At 41.9% G+C, this 19,540-nt stretch overlaps 2 protein-coding genes and 1 long non-coding RNA gene across 23 annotated transcripts in view, besides 2 other annotated features; 2 read left to right on the forward strand and 1 right to left on the reverse strand.

Moving 5' to 3' along the window:
- The first annotated feature begins 664 nt into the window (after nucleotides 1-664).
- LOC124906218 (uncharacterized) lies at nucleotides 665-9,891 on the forward strand. The gene is made up of 2 exons (XR_007095838.1): nucleotides 665-4,754; nucleotides 7,004-9,891. It is a non-coding gene; the product is annotated as an uncharacterized LOC124906218 (long non-coding RNA).
- Nucleotides 5,161-5,662: an enhancer, noted in NCBI's record as "H3K27ac hESC enhancer chr3:16297189-16297690 (GRCh37/hg19 assembly coordinates)". NCBI's record gives its function as "activates a minimal SCP1, AML or CMV promoter by ChIP-STARR-seq in primed H9 embryonic stem cells {active_cell/tissue: H9 hESC(primed)}" and the evidence as "EXISTENCE:reporter gene assay evidence [ECO:0000049][PMID:30033119]".
- Nucleotides 6,540-14,422, reverse strand: DPH3 (diphthamide biosynthesis 3). Of its 2 annotated transcripts, NM_206831.3 has the most exons (3): nucleotides 14,248-14,422; nucleotides 13,634-13,708; nucleotides 6,540-10,308 (listed from the first exon to the last, which is right to left on the reverse strand). In NM_206831.3, exons 1-3 carry the CDS (start codon nucleotides 14,353-14,355, stop codon nucleotides 10,243-10,245), a joined length of 249 nt encoding a protein of 82 aa, NP_996662.1. In that variant the 5' UTR covers nucleotides 14,356-14,422; the 3' UTR covers nucleotides 6,540-10,242. The 2 variants fall into 2 exon arrangements, with proteins under 2 accessions (NP_996662.1, NP_001040899.1); NM_001047434.3 differs by lacking the exon at nucleotides 13,634-13,708.
- Nucleotides 14,254-14,563: an enhancer, noted in NCBI's record as "active region_19540". NCBI's record gives its function as "activates an Ori minimal core promoter by ATAC-STARR-seq in GM12878 lymphoblastoid cells {active_cell/tissue: GM12878}" and the evidence as "EXISTENCE:reporter gene assay evidence [ECO:0000049][PMID:35858748]".
- The window catches only part of OXNAD1 (oxidoreductase NAD binding domain containing 1), an 86,884-nt gene continuing 82,034 nt past the window's right edge, over nucleotides 14,691-19,540 (forward strand). For 15 of the 20 annotated variants that reach the window (NR_199631.1, NR_148220.2, NR_148217.2 and 12 more), the window contains exons 1-2: nucleotides 14,691-14,984; nucleotides 18,605-18,754. Coding sequence is in view for 5 of the 20 variants with exons in the window: in NM_001330671.3 (NP_001317600.1) it covers nucleotides 18,725-18,754 (30 nt within the window). In the remaining 15 variants the exon portion in view is untranslated. Of the gene's footprint in view, nucleotides 15,339-18,604; nucleotides 18,755-19,540 lie in introns of all 20 variants that reach the window. The other 5 variants (XR_007095766.1, XR_007095767.1, XM_011534230.4 and 2 more) reach the window with 1 other exon arrangement.

Below are 19,540 nucleotides of genomic sequence, written 5' to 3' on the forward strand. Positions count from 1 at the left end.
TTTTATTGATGCAGAAACAGGTGCTAAATAGTTCTCCTAAAATTGATGTGGGAGAGCTGAGGCTTGAACCCAGATATTTGACATCCACTGTCTCTTCTCTACTCTCAAAGAATGTATATATAGACATTCTATAGCAAGCAAAGAAAGGTAATAGAAAAAAAGATGAAGTTAGTAGATGCGTTATTTCTTCAGTGCGTGAGCACCATGCCACATTCTAGAATAGAACTGTTCAAGAGAACTTGCTGTGAAGATAGAAATGTTATTTGAGCCATCCAGTAGGGTTACCTCAAGCCACAGCACATGTGCGCATGTGTACCTGAAATGTGGTAGTGTGACTACTAAGGCACTGGCTTCTTAATTTAATTTTATACATTTTAATTTAAATTCAGGGCTGAGCACGGAGGCTCACACCTATAAGTGTGCCGGAGGCCCAGCACTTTGGGAGGCTGAGGCAGGAGGATTGCTTGAGGCCAGAGGTTTGAGACCAGCCTGGGCAACATGGCAAGACCCTGTCTCTATAAAATATAAAAAATTGGCTGGACATGGTAGCACGTGCCTATAGTTCCAGCTACTTGGGAGGCTGACCGCAGGAGCTGGAGGCTGCAGTGAGCTATGACTGCACCACTGCAGTCCGGCCTCGGTGACAGAGAAAGACCTTGTCTCAAAATAAGTAAATAAATAAATACATAAATAAATAAATTTACATTTAGAAAGCCACACATAGCTAGTGGCTACCATGCTGAACAGCACAAAAGCCCTGCTAGGCACATCTTGAGATGTCACTGAGGCCAGTAACTGACTGGCTGTTTGCTTCAGACCTTGGGGTGAAGATCCTGCAAATGTCAGCTGCCCGGCACTCACATGAAGTAGGCTGCCCCTTGGGAAGGGGAACACATGATCGCAGAGGGTTTCTGGCTGCACTGCCCTCCTGCAAGCTGGCGTGGGCTTGGGCCTGCCAGCACCAGAGTCCCATGACTCTAGCTCCCCCAGAGGCCCTGGCGCTGTCTATTCACCACCATCCTAGGACTGCTGCTGCTCGCTCTGCTCCTCCTCTTCCTCCTCCCCATCCCCCAGCCCAGAAGGGCAGCAGTCCTCTCGAGTTTGCCCCTTCAGACAAACCAGGACAGCTTCATCCAAGTATAGAAATAGTCACCTGCTTTCTCAAAGTCACATCAGAACAGAGCTGAGAGGAACCTTAGAAGTCATTCCTTCATTCCTCCTACCGCCACCCCATTTTACAGTTGAGAAGCCAAGACCTAGAGAGGTGATCAGTATCATCTTTGGCCTCTTTGCCCAGGGCAGTGACCCACTGAGTCCACAGATGGGGCAGGAACACGTGTGTGTGCAGGAAAAACAGGAACCATCTGGCTGGGGTCAGGCATTCCTTCTGCCTCTTTATGTCCACAGGATAGTTTTTTAAATTGATGATGAGGAAGGTGCATGTTTGGCAAAGAGGACAAAGCTTCCAATCGTTTAACTGCCAAAACATACATTGGGGTCACTTATTGGTGAGAAACATTTCTGTCCTGTCCTTACAGATTCTCTGTAACATAATTCTAGTTTTTAAACCCTCCCTTGCACAGAGATTAGGCCCCAGTTCTCATAAATAAAAAATGCTTGGAGCATATTTATTGATTGCACGACACCGTTTATCCATTTTGAAGTGAGTAGTACTAACCATCTTAACACTTTTCCAAGCAGAAAGTTCTCCTTCATGGCTAACTTCACTGACTTTTTCCCCCTCTAACTCAGCGTGGTATGGAGAGAGCTTAGCCAAGCCAGATGGACAAGTCACTGATAGGCCACATTCTGCTAGGAATATGTAAGCTATATATGGCAGACTTTGTTTAAGGTCCAAAGTTCAAGGTTTCAGCTATGGTCACGCGGATCATATCAGACTTGAAGTGAGAGCTGCTGTCCTGATTTGAAACAGTCTGCATAACAAACTGTTGGGCACCACTGAAATGTATCAGGGAACTCGCTGCAAAAAAAAAAAAACACTCAAAATGAATCATCCCAAAGTTCTAGCAACCAGGAAACAGACACAGTAAGGTGAGTAGTCTACGTTCCCGTGGGCATTCTAGCTCATTTTTAATGACATCTTATGAGTATATGGCTCCATTTCTCTCCATAATTAGAGTTAATAAATACCTTCAAGAGGATGTTTATGGCAGACTTTGGAATATTAACTCGTTATTATCAGAGTTATGTTGCTGAAGGTGAAGCCTGGTTTTGAATACAGAAACCACAGCCAATGCCTCACTCACCTCAAAATGCAAATGTAGCAAAAATTAATCCCATGGGACTGTTGTCTCATGTCTGGCCAGAAAGATGAGAATAACTAATTTGTTTGAAAGTTTCAACTGCTTCCATCTTATGCCTTGGAAAGTTTTTCAATTATTCAAACACTACCATAAAAGAAAGACAATGGCATTTGGAGTCAAAAGTATTTGTATTGAAATGCCAAGCCAGTCATTTAATGACTGTGATAGATTAAATTACTTTTCAAAATTCTTCACTCCTTCCCTCCACCACCTCCATGGAAGAATTGTATTTCCCTGCCCTTGACTTTAGCTCAGCCATGTGATCATTCTGGCCAATGAAACACTGGCAGATCGGATGCAAGCCATGACTTCAAATGTGCATGTGCAGTGGGACTTGGCACCTGCACCTGTTCCAGCTGGTTCACTGGCCCAAGAAGGAAGAGAAACGTAAGACTGGACCCAGACTTAATCTGCAGTTTAGAGCCACTCAGCCAAACCCAACCAAGATCAGCCAACCCCCAGCTGACCAACAGACACTTAAACAAGAATAAATGACTTTTGTTTTAAGTTTTGGGGTGGCTTGTAGTGTAACAACTCCTGATTGATACATTGGCAAAGACTTAGTTTCAGTTACTATGAGGATTATGATACCAACTTCATAGTGTGATCTAAACAATGCGATGCTATGATCCCTTTACTCATTGAAGACCAATAATGTCCCACTCCTGCCTTGACTTCCCCAGTGATGTATGTTACAATTTAGCTAAACTGGGCCTACATTTCCCAGTATTCCCTTCTCTGGTGGTCCTGGGTTAGCACTGACCACAAGAGAATTTTTCTGCAAGATATGGAAGCCAGAAGTAAAGCAGCAGACATGTTTTTTTAGGCTCTGAAGGCTGGAGCAGGATCCCAGGAACAGTGGGTGCTTATGCATGTTGCAATCTGCTAGCTTGCCTTGTTCTGGGCCAAGTGGTTATGCAACTCTGTGGAGACGGGTGCCAGCTTCCCCTAGAAGTCACCCACAGCATTAAGGTTGGAGGTAGTGAGACAGATGTAGGTTCCGGTTTGTATTTTCTCTTGTTCACACCAAGCTTCCTTTTACGACTACCAGTTTGGCCGACCAATTACTACTTTAGGATCAACATCAGATGCAGAAATAACCGCCTTCCCTTGATGCCTCCACTAGCTCCCACGCCGTGTAAAGTCTAATCCTTATAACACATCTCCATTCTCTCTCACTCATGGTTCTTCAGCTTCTTGGGATTGAACCCTGATACATTGTGGCTGAGTCCATTGTTGTCTAAACCTGTAAATTCAGGCAAGTACCTCACAACATAGTCTTAAGTAATTTATTATGGAGCAAGAAACACGTAAGATTAAACTATTATTTATTGAGCCCTTACTAGGTGCAAAATCTGTGCTAAGTGCTTTACATGCGTTATCTCATTTAATCTCATAAAATGGTCCCCAATCCCCTATCCAGTATGCTTTACTCTCATCACCATCATCAGTTGGTGGTTCGGAGATACCTGCTAGCTACAGTAATGCTCTAAGTCCTCACTGCCATTAGGAATTGTACACTGGGACCCAACATCCTCTGGGGTGGACCCGGTGGCCTGTGCTGTCCTAAAGTACACACAGGTAGTGCCCATTAAGGGTTTGCTTTCCCCTGTTCCTCATTCTCAACTTTGGCATTAATTTTTGTCCAAAGATACAATCTTTGACCCTATCAAACATTCAGTTCCCCTCTAAGTATGAAGTCTGGCCCCAAATATTTGCCTAGTGACTGGGTCCTGATACCAAGGTCAGATCTCACATGGAAATTGCCCCAAGTGTCGATCCTCCTGGACTGAAGCAATGCTGGTGGCCCTGTGCACTTATTGGGATCTCCTACTCCTTACTGGGCATGTACCCCCATTTGGGAGCTACTTCATATACCAAATCAAGTACCTCTCACTTGCCACAACTGGGACTGAGATGGCTATCTTCCTTGGAAACAGACTGCTGGGCCTACCTGTGCCTCTGCAATCTACATTGGTAGCTAGGTTAGTTTCCCGGCATTTGTCCTGTCTCAGCAGGTGCTGTGGCAAAGTTTTCCAGGTTGTACAAAGATGAAAATTAGTAGGGTTTCTAATTAAGATATTCAAGTGGATTTGAGTGGCTTTTCAGTATCAGTAACTGTGGTAGTTTTGTACTATATTAACTTGGCCAAGCTGGGACTATTTCCCAGTATTCTCTTCCCAATATGGTTCTGGGTTACAGATGAGTAAAAACAAGAAATTGGTGCAAGGTTTGAAAGGCAGAAAGGAGGCAGCAGCTGTGACTGGAGAGCGCTACAGTGTAAGGTGGTGAGAGACAGCTGCAGAGGCGCTGGTGGGTTGGCTTTCATCTTCCGTCTTTCCTGCTGCATGCCTGGTGCTTCTTCCTGCCAGCTTTACTGACCAACAGCAACTCCAACCCCATTACCGATGCTCGGCTGCAAGCTCAGAGGTAATCTCACCAGGGAAGCAAAGACCCTTCCAGACTTCTTCACTAGCCCCTTCCAGGGTTTCCACTCCTGCAGCTGGACATTCCTAACTTCCAAATTTCCCCAAAGTTCGAACTTGTCCACCTGTGCCAGGGCTTGAAGAGGACGTGCCTTTTTTCCCCCTAATTTGAGTGGTAAAGTCTGAAGACTGAAAAACAACTTTCCTTTTTAAAATGCTAACTTGTTTTCCTAGAATTTGAACAATATTCATTCATACATTACAAAGAATTGTGTTTCGTTCTGAGTTCTAGGGCTCTTCTGTAAGTGCATCTCTGCAAGTATGTAGAGAAAGGTGGAGATTCCCCCCACTCTACTTCCACTGTATTTTAAGCCTTTTGTGGAATTGTGATTTCTCTTTTGTGTGTCCTTTGTTTTAAACTCTTAGCAAGGAATAATTTGTAAACTGGTTTCCCAGTCAAATATGTAATCATGGCAATTTGCTAGGTAAAAAGCAGGGAATGGCAGGCATCCTCAAATGGAGTTAAAGAAATCCTAATTACTTACACCTGCAGAAGCTGTTGCTTTTGTAAGGTATGTAATTAGCAGCCAGCGTGTGCTGGAAAATGTGATTGTCTGTTTAAATACGGGATGCAGCCCGGAGGCCGCCCAGTTTAGAGCTCTCCCGCTGTGTACATTAGCCCAGCCTGGGCTCTCCTGGCACTTGTTAAGGCTGACTGCATGCCTAAATGCAGTGTGTGGCCAATTGAGCCCCCTTTCCTTGGTCCATGTGCAAAGCAGGTGTGATCATTTTAAAAAATTGGCTCCTTTTGGCTGGGTGCTGTGGCTCATGCCTGTAATCCCAGCACTTTGGGAGGCCGAAGCTGGCGAATCATGAGGTCAGGAGATCGAGACCATCCTGGCTCACACGGTGAAACCCTGTCTCTACTAAAAAATATAAAAAATTAGCCAGGCATGGTGGCGGGCGCCTGTAGTCCCAGCTACTCAGGAGGCTGAGGCAGGAGAATGGCATGAACCTGGCAGGCGGAGCTTGCAGTGGAGATCGCGCCACTGCACACCAGCCTGGGTGACACAGCGAGACTCCGTCTAAAAAAAAAAATGGTTCCTTTTAACTTAGTGATTATGAACTTTCTGCTTTTCTAGCCCAGTGGTTCTAGGCCTTGGCTACATGTTAGAATCGCTAGGGAGACTTTTTAAAAAATCCTGATGCCCAAGTTGCACCCAAATCAATTAAGTCAGACTCACTGGGGCATCAAATTTTTAAAGCGCCCGAAGCGATTACAAATGTGCTGTCAAGTTTGAAAACCAGTGGTTCCCAAACTTTTAACTGCATGCGAATCAGCAAGCAGGCTTGTTAAAACACAGGTTGCTGGGCCCTACCCCTAGATTCAATAAGAGGGAGGCAAGGGTGTCCAAAACTTTGCACTTCTCATATTTATGCCAAGAATACTGTCAATGTTTGCTGTGGCTTGGATATGGTTTGTCCACACCAAACTCATATTGAGGCTTGGTCCCCAACGTAATGGTGTTGAAAGATGGTGAGACTTTTAAGAGGTATTTGGATAACAAGGGATCTGCCCTTGAAGAAATTAATGACATCTGGTGGGAGTGAGTGTTCCCTCTCCCAAGACTGGATTAGTTACCAAGAGAGGCGGTTGCTATAAAATAAGGCTGACTCTCCAGTATGGTATCTTTGCACATGCCCGCTTCCCGTTCTGCTTCTCCATCATGTTAGGACACAGCACGAGACCCTCACCATGGTCATAACATGAACTCCCCAGGCGCCAGACTCATGAGCCAAATTAACCTTTATTCTTGATAAATTATCCAGTCTCAGGTATTGTTACAGCAGCAGAACATGGACTAGGAGAAAGCGCAAAACAATGTTTAATTCCTTTCGGAGTTAGAATAGTTAACCATTTTTTGCACATGACAGGCATTAGCTGTCATGTTTTATAGATACTAGCTCATTTAATCATTTTCACAAGGCTGTTTCCTTCTCATCCTTCAGGTCTTAGAAAAAGTGCCAGAGCTCAGACTCCCTTAAAAAGTCACCTGACCCAGTTACTCTCTCCCACATCACCTGGTTTGTTTCCTTGGGGGCTCTAACTCATCTGTAATCTTGCTTCTGTCTCTTCTAGTTCCACTAAGTTTCCAAATGTAGAAACCGAATCTTCTTCCCCTAGTGCCTAGCATGTGACAGGTACTTCTTTGCCTAGTGCATAGCACATGACAGCTATTTTTCTAATTGCAGAATGAATGGGTTCACACAGCAACCCTGTCAAAGAGGTACTATGATCCAGATTTCACAAACCAGAATATAATTATTAAGTAACTTCTCGGAGATCACAGTGGAGGAACTAAGATTCAAATTGTCTTCTGACCAGAGCTGGGCTCTGAAACCACTCCAAGAATTGATCATCAGCCTTAAACAATCAGTTTTCTTTCCTTGTAATAAACTGAGTTACTCATCTAAGAATGTCAACTTTGTCTTACTACCACTTGACTCAGTTATTTTTTTCCCAAACAATAGAAATCCAGAGCCCAAACTGTAGAAATTGGCAATTTCCTTATTTAAAAACTACTGTCCATAACAAAAAGTCTATTAACAATACCCCAAAGCAGTTAAGATTTCTACCTCATATAAAATCATAAACATTTTAATTCAAAATGTTGACATTTAGAAGAAAAACTACATAAAAGCAAATGGATTTGAATTATCTGACTTTATTTAGCATGCAATGCAATTTATTCTGGCAATAAATTAATATGTGCAGTTATAAAAAATGTTGGGTACTTTTTCCAAGAAAAATGTTTCTGAATGTGCACACTAGAATATATGCAGAATCCTTTAAACAGTCGACTTCATATTTTAAACTTGTAAGTGTGGTAACATCAAGTTTTGGAAGAATGGACTTTTTCTGTAATTCATGATTTAGTTTGAGTTTATAAAGGTTTTAATTGCAATTTCAGTTCCTACAAGCTACCAAGCCTGAAATTAGAGAACTGACAGCTGAGAAAGGCAATCACCTGATCGAGTCTCCTAATTGTACAGCTGAAGAATCCAATGGCCTTGCCAAAGATTACGAAGCTAAAAAGAGACATAGCCTGGATTACAAGTCAGTTTTTATAGGTGCTCCAGGAATGTCTTGAGCTAAATAAGGCACACGTATCACACAGAACTTTAGTCGTATCTCAGAGTCCAGTTTTACTCTGCTTTCTCTTTATTTTTTAGGCATGAGGTCTTGCCCTGTCACACAGGCTGGAACGCAGTGGTGTGATCACAGCTCACCACAGCCTCAAACTCCTGGGCCCAAGCAATTTGCTCAAGGCCCCACACCTTGCTAATTAAAAGAAGATTTTTTAGAGACAGGGTCTTTCTATGTTGCCCAGGCTAGTCTTGAACTCCTGGCCTCACATGATCCTCCTGCCTTAGCTTCCTGAGTAGCTGGGATTACAGGCACGAGCCACTGCGCCTGGCTCTGGTTTTACCTTCTGCTTAACACAGGATTCAATCTTGATGTGTTCTCCTACAGTTCACAAACTTAGTGACTCAATTGCTTTAGAAACAAAGCAATAAATGATTTGATTTAGAAATAATTTGGTTTAGAAACAAAACCATTCCCATTATTGCAGCATTATCATCAGTCACTGACTGCTAATGCTTTTTATGCTTCTTTTTTCCTGGGATGTGTGAACCTGGCAACTTTTCTTCCTGTTCTTCTATGTTCTTAGCAAACCCACATCAAGGGTGTCTGTTCGTGTTTGAAACTCATCAGCATCAGAAAGAGCTAACATGTTGGCAGTATCTAGAAAACCATCAACATGATCATGGGACAGTTCATTTTGCTTTGCAGCTGATGCCACCATAGTGAGTGAGTACTCTGCTCTGTTCATCTGAGCAGTCACTTTGCTTTTGCAAAGCAGTTGTGGATTACTTCTGGGATGTCAGTGTCCCAAATGGCAATGAGATTTCTCATCACATCCAGAATATGCCACATAATGTACTGAGCATTTTCAGCTCGGTACATTATAATTTTTGGTAATTTATTGTCTCAGCCTAGTGGCTGCACACAGCCATGCTGCTGGCAGGTAAAAAAGGCTACTCACTTGTTTTAACGTCCAATGAATGTGTGCAGTACATTTACCAGTAACAGAACATTTACATTCTAGCAAGCTATTTTTCTAATTGCAGAAGCCATTCCTAAAACAACCTGACGGACATCACTGCATTAATAAATATTTTTTATTTATACACAGTAAAGTTGTGTATATAAAGGGAATTTTCAAATTTCCAATGTAAATGATTCTAATTTCTTGCTATGCTTAGTACTGCAGCAAAAGAAGGGTGATAGCCTATCTTTATATATTTCTTTTTCTCCAGGGCAACATTTCTCTGCAGGAGTGAATGTCTGGTTTGGCTGCATGTTATAGAGGCTTATTAAATATGCTCTCATGGGCATATTTATTCACAATAGGTCTCTCATTTTCAAGCTCATTCTCCGCTGTAGATGCTTTACCTTGTAGTAGTGACACAACACTGTGATATGCCAAAAGCACAGCTACCAGCCATGGAAATTTGACGTTAACCCCTACCTGGAATGCAATTTCATTAGCCTTATCAAAACACAAACAAAAACTCAGATACAGAAATATTACTTGCTCTGACCTGGCAAAGTCATTCAAACATTCCACTTACTACACTGGTATGCTTTGCTCCTCTCATTCTGTCACCAATTTCACTTCTTTTGGATGTTTTTCTTTTCATCTTGTCCTGACTTCCAAGGAATATGCAGAATATAAGAAAAGTCCTCATTCTTTCATCACTTCATTTTGGACTTTCTTTCTTGTTCACTAACTTTTAGCTCTGGAGACATTGTGACCTCACTGTATTTTCTCTTTAATACTATGACCAAACTCTCTGCATGAAGCATTACAGAAATGACACGCTGAACAGAACATGTCCATTCTAATGGGAAAACTGAGGAGACTGGCTTGGTATAGAAACTGGAAGTGTGGTACTGATGAAGCAACTAATTTTAAATTTAGAACAGCAAAGCTGATGTCATATTTCAAAGGAAGGGCTAATTTTAATAATCTTAATAACCAAGTCAAAAATACAATCTCTTTTTTATTAAGAAATCCTAATGACTGAGGTAGATGATGCTGTTGTCAGATACCGAAGTAATTTGGTTTAAGATATGAAAATGATGAAACCAAGGGAAAGAAAGCACTGTTTTGAAATTATCTTCTTTTAAATTTAGATGCATAATTAAGAATGCTTCCAATTTAAGGTTCTAAGCACAAAATCCAGATATGTCATGTTATGGACTTGCTTCCTGAAGATGATATCAGCAGTTGATAGAAAGAATCCACACTCTTACAGAACAGCAAATCATAAATGGTTGTCTCTGTGAAGCCAGTAGCTTTGCATTCGATATTTCTATCTGGGCTCATTCCAAATGTTCAGGATTTGGATTCCTGAAGGCTTCTTCAGCATTTAACTAATTCTTTGTTGGCTGAAGGGGCTGGGACTGTTTCTCCACACACAAACTGATCCTAAGACAGAGTGAGAAATGACATTAACCAATGAATTTCCGGTCACAAATACATTAATATTAAACCTTCATTTTGTTACAGCATCAATCCAGCGCTGTTAATTGTTTTTCATTTGCTATTATCATTTCATCCTTGTTCAAAGAGCCAATGACAGCACCAGAAGTAGAATCTTAAACATGTATCAGTTTTTTGATCTGAATTCATTATTTAATACAAAGCACCTTATAAACAAACATCCCTATCTTCAGTTCAGAGCAACCACTTCTCAGAAATCACATAAAGACATGCCACATATTTTAAATTTCTGTATTAATTACTACTTACACTAAAACTTCTCCACTTTAATATTTGGTCATTCAAATACCAGTCCTCTTCAAAGTAATTACTTCTTCTAACTAAAAGGGACAGGTCTTTATGTGGTTCCCAACATGGATAATCTGCTATGTTAGCTACTTTGTAAATGAAGTTCAATCTCTGGTCTTTTATCCTGGCTTATGTCAGCTACCACCAAAAATCTCTGCTTCCAAGGTTATCCCTCACCTCCAGCAATCTGATTCCCGAAGGATCAGCCCCTACTCTGTCCCTGCTACTCTGTTGCCCAATATGTGGAACCCTTTCACTGTGCCCTTTGGAATTCATGGTCCATTGTTAGCACAATGCTTCATATTCTCAACCTCTTTCTCAAAATGTCCTTTTATCCCCAAGAGCACTGGTAATATCTGGAAACAGTTTGAATTGAAACAACTGAGGATTGCTATTGGCATCTAGTAGGTAGAGGCCAGGGATCCTGCTAGACATCCTATAATGCACGGGGTATCTCTGAACAACAAAGAATTATCAGGCCTAAAATGTCAACAGGGCTGAGGTTGAGATGAAGTCATATTCTTAAGGACAGTTTCCCCTACAAGCCCATCTAGTGGAGGCTCTGTGTTCTCAGAGTCCTAGTACCAGAGGGATTGGAAGTGGGGCTAGTTCCTCCTTTTTGCCTCCATTCTCCTTTCCTGTCTAAAACCCATCAGTTTAGAATCTTATGTCTTGAGACTACCGCCTTGCTATTCTTCTCTGTTGCTGTCATTTATCCACCCTGGATGCCATATTCCAACCCCTCTGGACCTCCACCATATTCATCCTACCACCCTTTCACTGCCCCTCACTCCCTTCATGTTCTCTTTACCTAGTTCAAACTCCATGGTCAGTTATAACCACTCTTCTCTCACTCCTTACTATTCACTTGGGAAAACCTTAAACCTGGTTAAATCTAACTTTCCATGTCTATATTCACTAATGAAGGCTGAATTTCTACCACCTTAAACCCTCTCTTGATCCTCTATCACCACTGGTTACTGTCCCATGTCTGTGCTCTCCTTTGCAGCAAACTCCTTAAAAGAAATGCCTATACTCACTGCCTTCTGTTCTCTCATTCTCTCCAACCAGTATTCTGCCCATTGGTTTCTTCACTCATGCGCTGTTCCTGTTACTCCATGGAAACTGCTCTCATCTCCGTCACAGATGAACTCAGTGTTGCTAAAGCTAATGGTTAATTCTTGATTGCTTCCTATCAGTGTCACGTGACAAGGATCACCACTTCCTCAATCCTTTCTCATCTGGTTTCCAGGATTTGACACTGCTGATTTTCCTCCTTTCTCAGTGGTTTCTCCTTTACCATCAGCTTTGGTGATTCCTCGCTTCCCTCCCTGACTTTTTAATACTGTAGTGCCTTAAGGCTCAGTCCTGTATTTTATCCATCTCTACATTCACAGACCTGGTGGTCTCATCCAATCTCATGGCTCTAAATGCTATCTGTTACTGATAACTCCCAAATTGACATTGCTAGCCAATCTCTCTCATGAACGCCAGACATGCATATCCAATTGCCTTCTCAACAGCTCAACTTGGATGACAGACCTCTCACTTAGTATGTACAATTTCAACCCCTATACCTATAGTTACATTCCCTCAATTGACAGTAACTCCATCCTCCCAGTTATTAAGGTCACAAATATTGAAATCATCCTTGTCTCACTCCTTCACACCCTATATCCAATCAGTTATTCAAAGCGTATCCAGAATCTAAGTACTTCTCATTATTTCCATTGCTGTAACCAGGTCCAAGCCACCCATCTCCTTCTTTAATTAGTGTAATAGCCTCCTATTACACTGGTTTTCCTGTTTCTATGCTTGCTCTCTATAGGCTACTCTGAACACAGCAGCCAGAATCATTTTTTAAAAAACTTAAGTTGGATCATAGCACTCCTATGTTCAAAAATCCCCCAATGGTTCCCTATATCACTCACAACAAGAGCCTAAGTCCTTAAAGTGATCCACAACTTCTTACGCTACTCTCATCCTGCTCTGCTCTGGTCACACTGGCCTCCTTTTTGTTCCTTGATAAAATCAGGCATGTTCCTGTCTTAGGTCCCCTTCACTGAACGATCCTTTGCTCGACTCTCTTACCTCATACCCTCATATGTACATGGCTCACTCCCTCACCTCCTTCAAATCTTTACCTATTAAGGCCTTTCTCAGTAAGGCCTGCCATGATCACCCTATGGAAAACTGCAACTTCCTCCCAGACCAGCACTCCTGATCTTCCTTACCGTTTGCTTTCTGTTGCAGAGCACATTTTAATACAAGAATGAATCATTATATTTCTAAATTATAGTCTAAATTATAGCCCGCTTCTCTCATGAGGCTCTGTGCCTCATCCCCACTTTCCCTATATTCATTTTGGACTTCATCCTTGAGAGTGTTAAGGTCCTTACCTAAGATTCCATTCCAAGTACTGAACAAAACTTTGGGTAGGAGTGGGCAGTAATAACATTTTTTTTTTCTATTGTCAACATCCTTGGGTGAAAGATAATAGGGCAACTAAAGACTAAAATGAAATTGTAAAGCTGCACCTAGGAATTATATCTCAAACAAGATAATGCAGAATTCTGTGTATAAGCCAGCACGAAATACCATACAATTGTTCCCTTCAAAGTAAGTCTAGCAGCTCTAAACAATTTTAATTACATATTAAATAGAAGAGAAATATAAAAAATTGTCCACTAAAATAATCTATATACTTTCTATTTAATAAATAATAATTTTCACTAAAGCTAGATTTATCTCTAAAGCTAAAATAAATTACGTAATCTGAACTTTAAACGTTTTAATTTACTATTCGGCTGTTTATCAATGGTGTTTAAAACCTGCCTAAAAAAATACCGCACTTTACCTAGCACAATGAAACATTCTCCTGCACTCATCACTGACAAGCTGATCTAAGTCCTTGCCACTGACTTACAATACCCTTCCCCCGTTTTAAAATTATATCCCTTACTTTGTCATAAATCACTTTTATAATGAGAGAGCAGCTAGGACACGTTGCCACGTCTTCCCCATTCTCCAAATCTTCCTACAACGAAATCAAATACCATGTGGTCAGGATAGCTTCTCTTCGCCATCTCCTCCCCCAAACCTATCCCACCCCTAGATGCAAGTCTCTTGGTGGCTTGCCTTCCCCCCAAGGTGGGTGAGAACCCCAGGGCCTTCAGCGAGAAATGCCGACATCATTTTCCCCTAGAAGCGTCACTTAGGGGAAACACCTAGGAAGGTCAGGCGAGCTTCGGTCGCCCCAAAAGCCCTGGGAAACAAAAAACGAGTCCCCTCCTCGACAGAAATATCCCAGGTTGGGACCCTAAGGCAGGGATCGGGCAGAGAGACAGAGGCTCTCCGCCACCCTCTCCCTGACCTAATCTAAGGCCAGAACTGCGTGCCTACCGAGAGAGCTCAGGGCATTAGTTGGGGTGGGGGGACGCGGGAGGAGGAAGATTCAGCAACGGGAAAGAGGGCGTGGGTGACACAGCGCAGCAAAGGCTACCCAATGATGGAAGGAACGGGCGGAACCAAACTGCGCTTGCTTGGGTGAACCGCCGGGCGGGACCCTGAAGTTACCTTGGTGATGGAGAAGTTATCTCCACATGGGCAGGGATAGAAATACGTCTCCGAGTCCTCGTCATATTGGAAGTCCTCGATTTCCACCTCGTCATGAAACACTGCCATGGTCAGCGGGGGTGGCCGAAGGGGTAACGCCCCAGCAGTCCGAGGCCAGCTCCGAGGGTTTAACTTCGCCGGAACCGGCCTGGGCTCGGCATCATCAGGTCGCGCCGGGCAAGGACTAGCCCTTCCGGCGCATAGGCAATGACGCAACTCCGCCCTGCGCGGCCAAATGGATAACCGGTAGCGGTCACCATGGAGATGGCTGAACTAGGGGCGGAGACACTGGGAAGACTGAAAGCTTGCTCAGCGGGGTCGCGCACCGCTCCTCCTATTGGGCGGCAGCGACCAATAGAATGTGGGGCTCGCCCGCGCTGCTACGTCACGTCTGGGACCGCGGAGTATTCCAGGCGCCTGCAACTAAACGTGGCCGGGTCTGCAAGCTAGGTGCCAGCGGGGAAAGTTTCCCTGCTTCTTATCGTCTGCTTTAACGCCTTAAATAGCCCGCTGAAGGCTGCAGCAGGTGCTAGGTAGCAGCCTCCCGGCCCTCGGGAAAGGCGGGGTGGGGAGGCGAGAGCAGCTTAGCCTCCTCGACCTCCCTTCCTGGTGACGGACGAACAGTTCCCGTAGAATTTCGCTTCACCGAGTGACCTTGAGCCCAGGGCGACGGTCAGCTTGTTAATTCCTGGCTGCAGGTACATTCCGCTTCTTCCTCACCCCAGACGCCTTAAAATACCCTAAATTGTGTTGCTGAAAGGACCAAGCCCTGGAAGGCAGGGATTGAGTTCTAGTCTTCTGTTTGCCAGGCTTATAACATTATTAACGACGATGATTTTTAGTAATAGTAATAACATCACCTTTTATTATTGGGAAGTTATGTGCCAGCTATTGCACTAAGTGGAATTGTCAACTCTAGGAGTTTACATGTTATTCCATTTTATTAATCTTTAAACTGAGGTACAGAGAGTTGGGCATCTTGACTAAAATCATACACCTGGGAAATAATGAAGAGCTTGTCTGTCTCCAAAGCCCAGGAACAAATTACTTATGTGAGTACCAGTTTTTTCGTTGTGAAAGAAATGGTGTCAGTAGGCAGGTTTATCAGTGTGAGGCCTATGTATGCCTTGAAGCGAAATGCAGATAAAAGGCATTTTTGTCTTGAAAGCAGTGCTAGTGCCTGTTTTGGTAAAACCGATTACATTGGGTCTTACTTAATTACTAGGCATTTTAATATCTTAGTAGAGAAGAAATGCATTGTAGTGAAAAAGCACTTTCGAGAGAAGATCTGGGATCGGAATCTTGAGTTGTTGATTACCTCTGGCAACTGGATATTTACATTCTTTGGGCCTTATTTCCTCTTCTAAGAAAGGATTGGAGTAGAGATGATATAAGATCCTTTTTAGATGTAATGTTCCACTTTTGCACGGAAATTATGAGCTTTACTTGGTTCAGCAATGATATATAACATTTAGTTTACATTTACGTAACACATATACATAATATATCCCTGTGCACTTTTGAAGAAAACATTACAATGACTACTAAACTTTACATTTATTCCTAAAAGGGCGGATCACGAGGTCAGGAATACGAGACCAGCCTGACCAACATGATGAAGCCCCGTCTTTACTAAAAAATACACAAATTAGCCAGGTGTGGTGGTGTGCCTGTAATCCCAGCCACTCAGGAGGCTGAGGCAGGAGAATCTCTTGAACCTGGAAGGCAGAGATTGCAGTGAGCTGAGATCACGCCACTGCACTCCAGCCTGGGCGACAGAGCTAGACGCTGTCTCAAAAAAAAAAAAAAAAAAAAAAAAGAAGTAGGTCATAATTGTATAATGCAAACTATATTTGATGAGTGCTGTTGTATATCAGGCCAGAAGGAGTTGTTTATTGGCAATACCAAACCTCCACCTCTCTAGGTTGTTTGACAAGGAAGAGAAGGGGTCAATGTATTAGGATTGATTTTAGTAACACTGTTGCTTGCCAGGTACTTTGGTAGACATTTTATTTATTCCTCTCAGTAATCCAGTGAGGTGGCGTGGGTAATGTTAAAATGGCAAGAGGAGACTTGCTGAAGATTAGAAAGCAGGAAGGAGTCACACCTGAGCCCAGTTCCGCTGATTTCCGGTCAAATACTCTGTGTATACTACTTGTTTACCACTAAGGTGTCTTTGCCTGTTGGAGCAAGAGGAGCCCTTTTTCTTCCTCAGTGACACCTAAGATTCTAAATTGACAGATGTCATGATTGTTCTTTGAACTTACTTAATTTCAGTGCATTTATGCTTATTGAGGCATTCTTGGCTTTTCTCTGTCAGTGTCCTCTCACACCCTGCCTAATGTATCAGCAAGTTTTGGGGCTCTAATTCCAAAATATATGTCATGTTCATCTACTTCTGCCATCTCTGTAGCTGTTACCTTATTATAATCTTAGACCAGAGTCTTTTAACTGGGTTTCCTGCTTCCACTCCTGCCCCTCTCCCTCTGTTATCCTTCCCACAGCAACTTGAGCAGTCCTTTAAAAATATAAATTAGGTCTTGTCCTTCTCCTGATTGATTCAGACTTTTCAGTTGCTTCCCATTACCCTTAGGATAAAATTCTTACCCTTACTATAGACTGCTGGACTTCATCTCATTTCACTCTTACCAGCTTACTGCTCTCCAGTCACACTGGCCTTGGTTCCTTTAACATGCCGGGCTTATTTCTGTGTTGGACCTTTGCTCTTGCTAGTCCTTCTGCCAGAGTTGTCTGCCTTTAACATTTGCTTGGCCGCCTTTTCCTCATCATTCAGATCTCAGCCAAGGTGTCATCACTGGAGAGATGTCTTTCTTGATATTTCCCCCACCTACCCCATCACTCTTACTCCCTTTATCATACTCATCATAATCTATAATTATCTTGTTATTTGTTTACTACTATCTGTCTCTGGAACTGTAATAAAAGCTTCATGATGGCAAGGGCCTTGCGTCTGGTTCTTTATTATATCTCCAAGGCCTAAAATAGTGCCTGGCACCCCTGTAGTTGTTGAATGAACTGAGTATACCTGTTGAACTGAAACCATATAATTAATCTTAAATGTTAAATTTAATCTGTTGCTTTCAGAAGTTTGTTTTACTACATATTTAATGGGTGTCAGTTTTATTTAGCACTTATTATACTTTTCTGCATTTCAGAAATAAAGTTAATTAAGATTTTTTGGTAAGGGAAGGCCTGTGAGGATACAGACATTGATGGGATGGTCTACTTTATATGGTTTTAGAAATAACTTGATATATATTGATCTGCTGTGGTTGATTAAATGCTTACAGTATGGAACCGCCGGACATATTTCAAAAAATTAGTAGGTTTTAAATTTTTTATATTTTATTTAAAGGACTGGCATAAAGCTTTGGAAAGCACTTTAAACAGAATTTTATAAAAATGTCCTTTATTTACCAGTAGGTGGCACTCTTGGTCATGGTTACTTTCACAAAATAAAATCTTAGGATTTTAAAGAGAACTCCTTTTTTTTTTTTTTTTTTTTTTTTTTTTTTTTTGAGACTGAGTTTCGCTCTTGTTGCCCAGGCTGGAGTGTAATGGCATGATCTTGGCCCACTGCAACCTCCGCCTCCCAGGTTCAAGCGATTCTCTTGCCTCAGCCTCCTTAGTAACTGGGATTATAGGCGCCCGACACCACACCTAGCTAATTTTTTGTATTTTTAGTAGAGATGGGGTTTCACCATGTTGACCAGGCTGGTCTCAAACTCCTGACCTCAGGCGATCTACCCACCTCATCCTCCCAAAGTGCTGGGATTACAGATATGAGCCACTGTGCCCGGGAAGAACTACTTTTAAAATTAACATTTGTTTTCCAGTTCAGTTGAGAAGGGGACCATTCAAACAGCATAATCATTAAATGATGTATCCTATTGTGAGGACAACTTATTTTAGCAATAGTTGTCTAAAACATTGAACAGAACAGTATTTCCATATTTAACAATATAGTGGTTAAATTTTATCAGGGAACTTGGCCTTAAATGACATGTAACTGTGTCATTCTAGCCTTTGGTCTGCTGTTTCCTGGGGTGGATATCCTAAGTAGCAGGTGTTAAAGACAGGCAAGGAAGATGAACAAAATAAGCTGTAAGATAAATAATCAAAAAAGAAAAATGGAAGCATGGAGGAAAGAATGGATGGAGAGGGGGTAATTGAGAGTGGGCTTGTTGTGAGGTGATGCCTACTGATTTTAATGAGCCTTTCCTTTGGCAGCTAAGAGGTAATAGTGCTTTTGATCAGTTCCCCAAAACATTGTTATATGTTGTTTGTGCCATTGCAGGAACTTTGTGAGAATTTTAATGCATGGAAAAGCTGTCCATGTTCCAACTGCTGTACATCCAAAAGTCTCAGTGTAATAGCAGGACCAAAATATTCTGTCAATCAGCTGACCATATACTTAATGACTCCTAAAATCTCGTGGACTTCTAAGGTAAGTTTCAACTTCTTTCTTTCAGGGATTAAGGTAACATTATTGACTTAGAACATTTAATGGAGAAAAACTACGTTTAGTGGTCTTGAATGAGGTTGAAGAGGCCTTCTGCTTTTTTCATTTAGTAAAGAGAAAAATAGCAAGTAGCATGCTTATCCGCAATGATGCTGCAACATACTATGACAAGAAGAAATATATCGTTTATCTAAAGACTAGTTATGAAGCAGTGAGCTTTTTAATATGATTTGGGTATAACCAAATAAACTGCATATGACTTATATCACCATCAGATTTATTTATTTTTATTTATTTTCTGTCTTCATCTATTGGAATGCAAGCTCTCTAAGAGAGTTTTTGTTTTCTTCATGCCTAAAGCACCATTGCTTAGGCCAGTGCCTGCCACATAGTGGACTCTTGATAGATACTCGTTGAATGAAGGACCAAATTAATGAATATGGAGTAGGAATGTAAACACTTAGCTTGAATATTTTGCTAACAGCAATTTATCACAATTAATTTATATACTGCCTCCCAAAAAGCTCAGAAAAAAAAGTATTCACATGCATTTTCATTTATTCTCAAGGTAACTAAGATGGACAAATAGAGCAATGTAACATGTTAAATGTGGCCATTTTAGACAAAGAAATGTTTAAAAATTGACATAGGAAAATGATGGAAAAGGAACCAAAAAGAAATATCATCTGACTCCTAATCAGTGCTTTTCTTGACAGGCTGGTAGTTTTTAGAATTTGAAATGTTGAAGAATCTGTGTGTGTGTTTAACTTT

This window comes from Homo sapiens, chromosome 3 (genome assembly GCF_000001405.40).
Source record: "Homo sapiens chromosome 3, GRCh38.p14 Primary Assembly".
NCBI classification, from domain to species: domain Eukaryota; kingdom Metazoa; phylum Chordata; class Mammalia; order Primates; family Hominidae; genus Homo; species Homo sapiens.

Excerpts from the sequence above, each read along its gene's own strand:
- DPH3 (NM_206831.3), bottom strand. The coding sequence starts at position 14,355 with ATGGCAGTGTTTCATGACGAGGTGGAAATCGAGGACTTCCAATATGAC. Across the intron at positions 13,709-14,247 it reads ATAACTTCTCCATCACCAAG|GAAGATTTGGAGAATGGGGA; the intron begins GTAACTTCAGGG and ends ATTTCGTTGTAG. Across the intron at positions 10,309-13,633 it reads TAAAAGTGATTTATGACAAA|GATCAGTTTGTGTGTGGAGA; the intron begins GTAAGGGATATA and ends ACTCTGTCTTAG.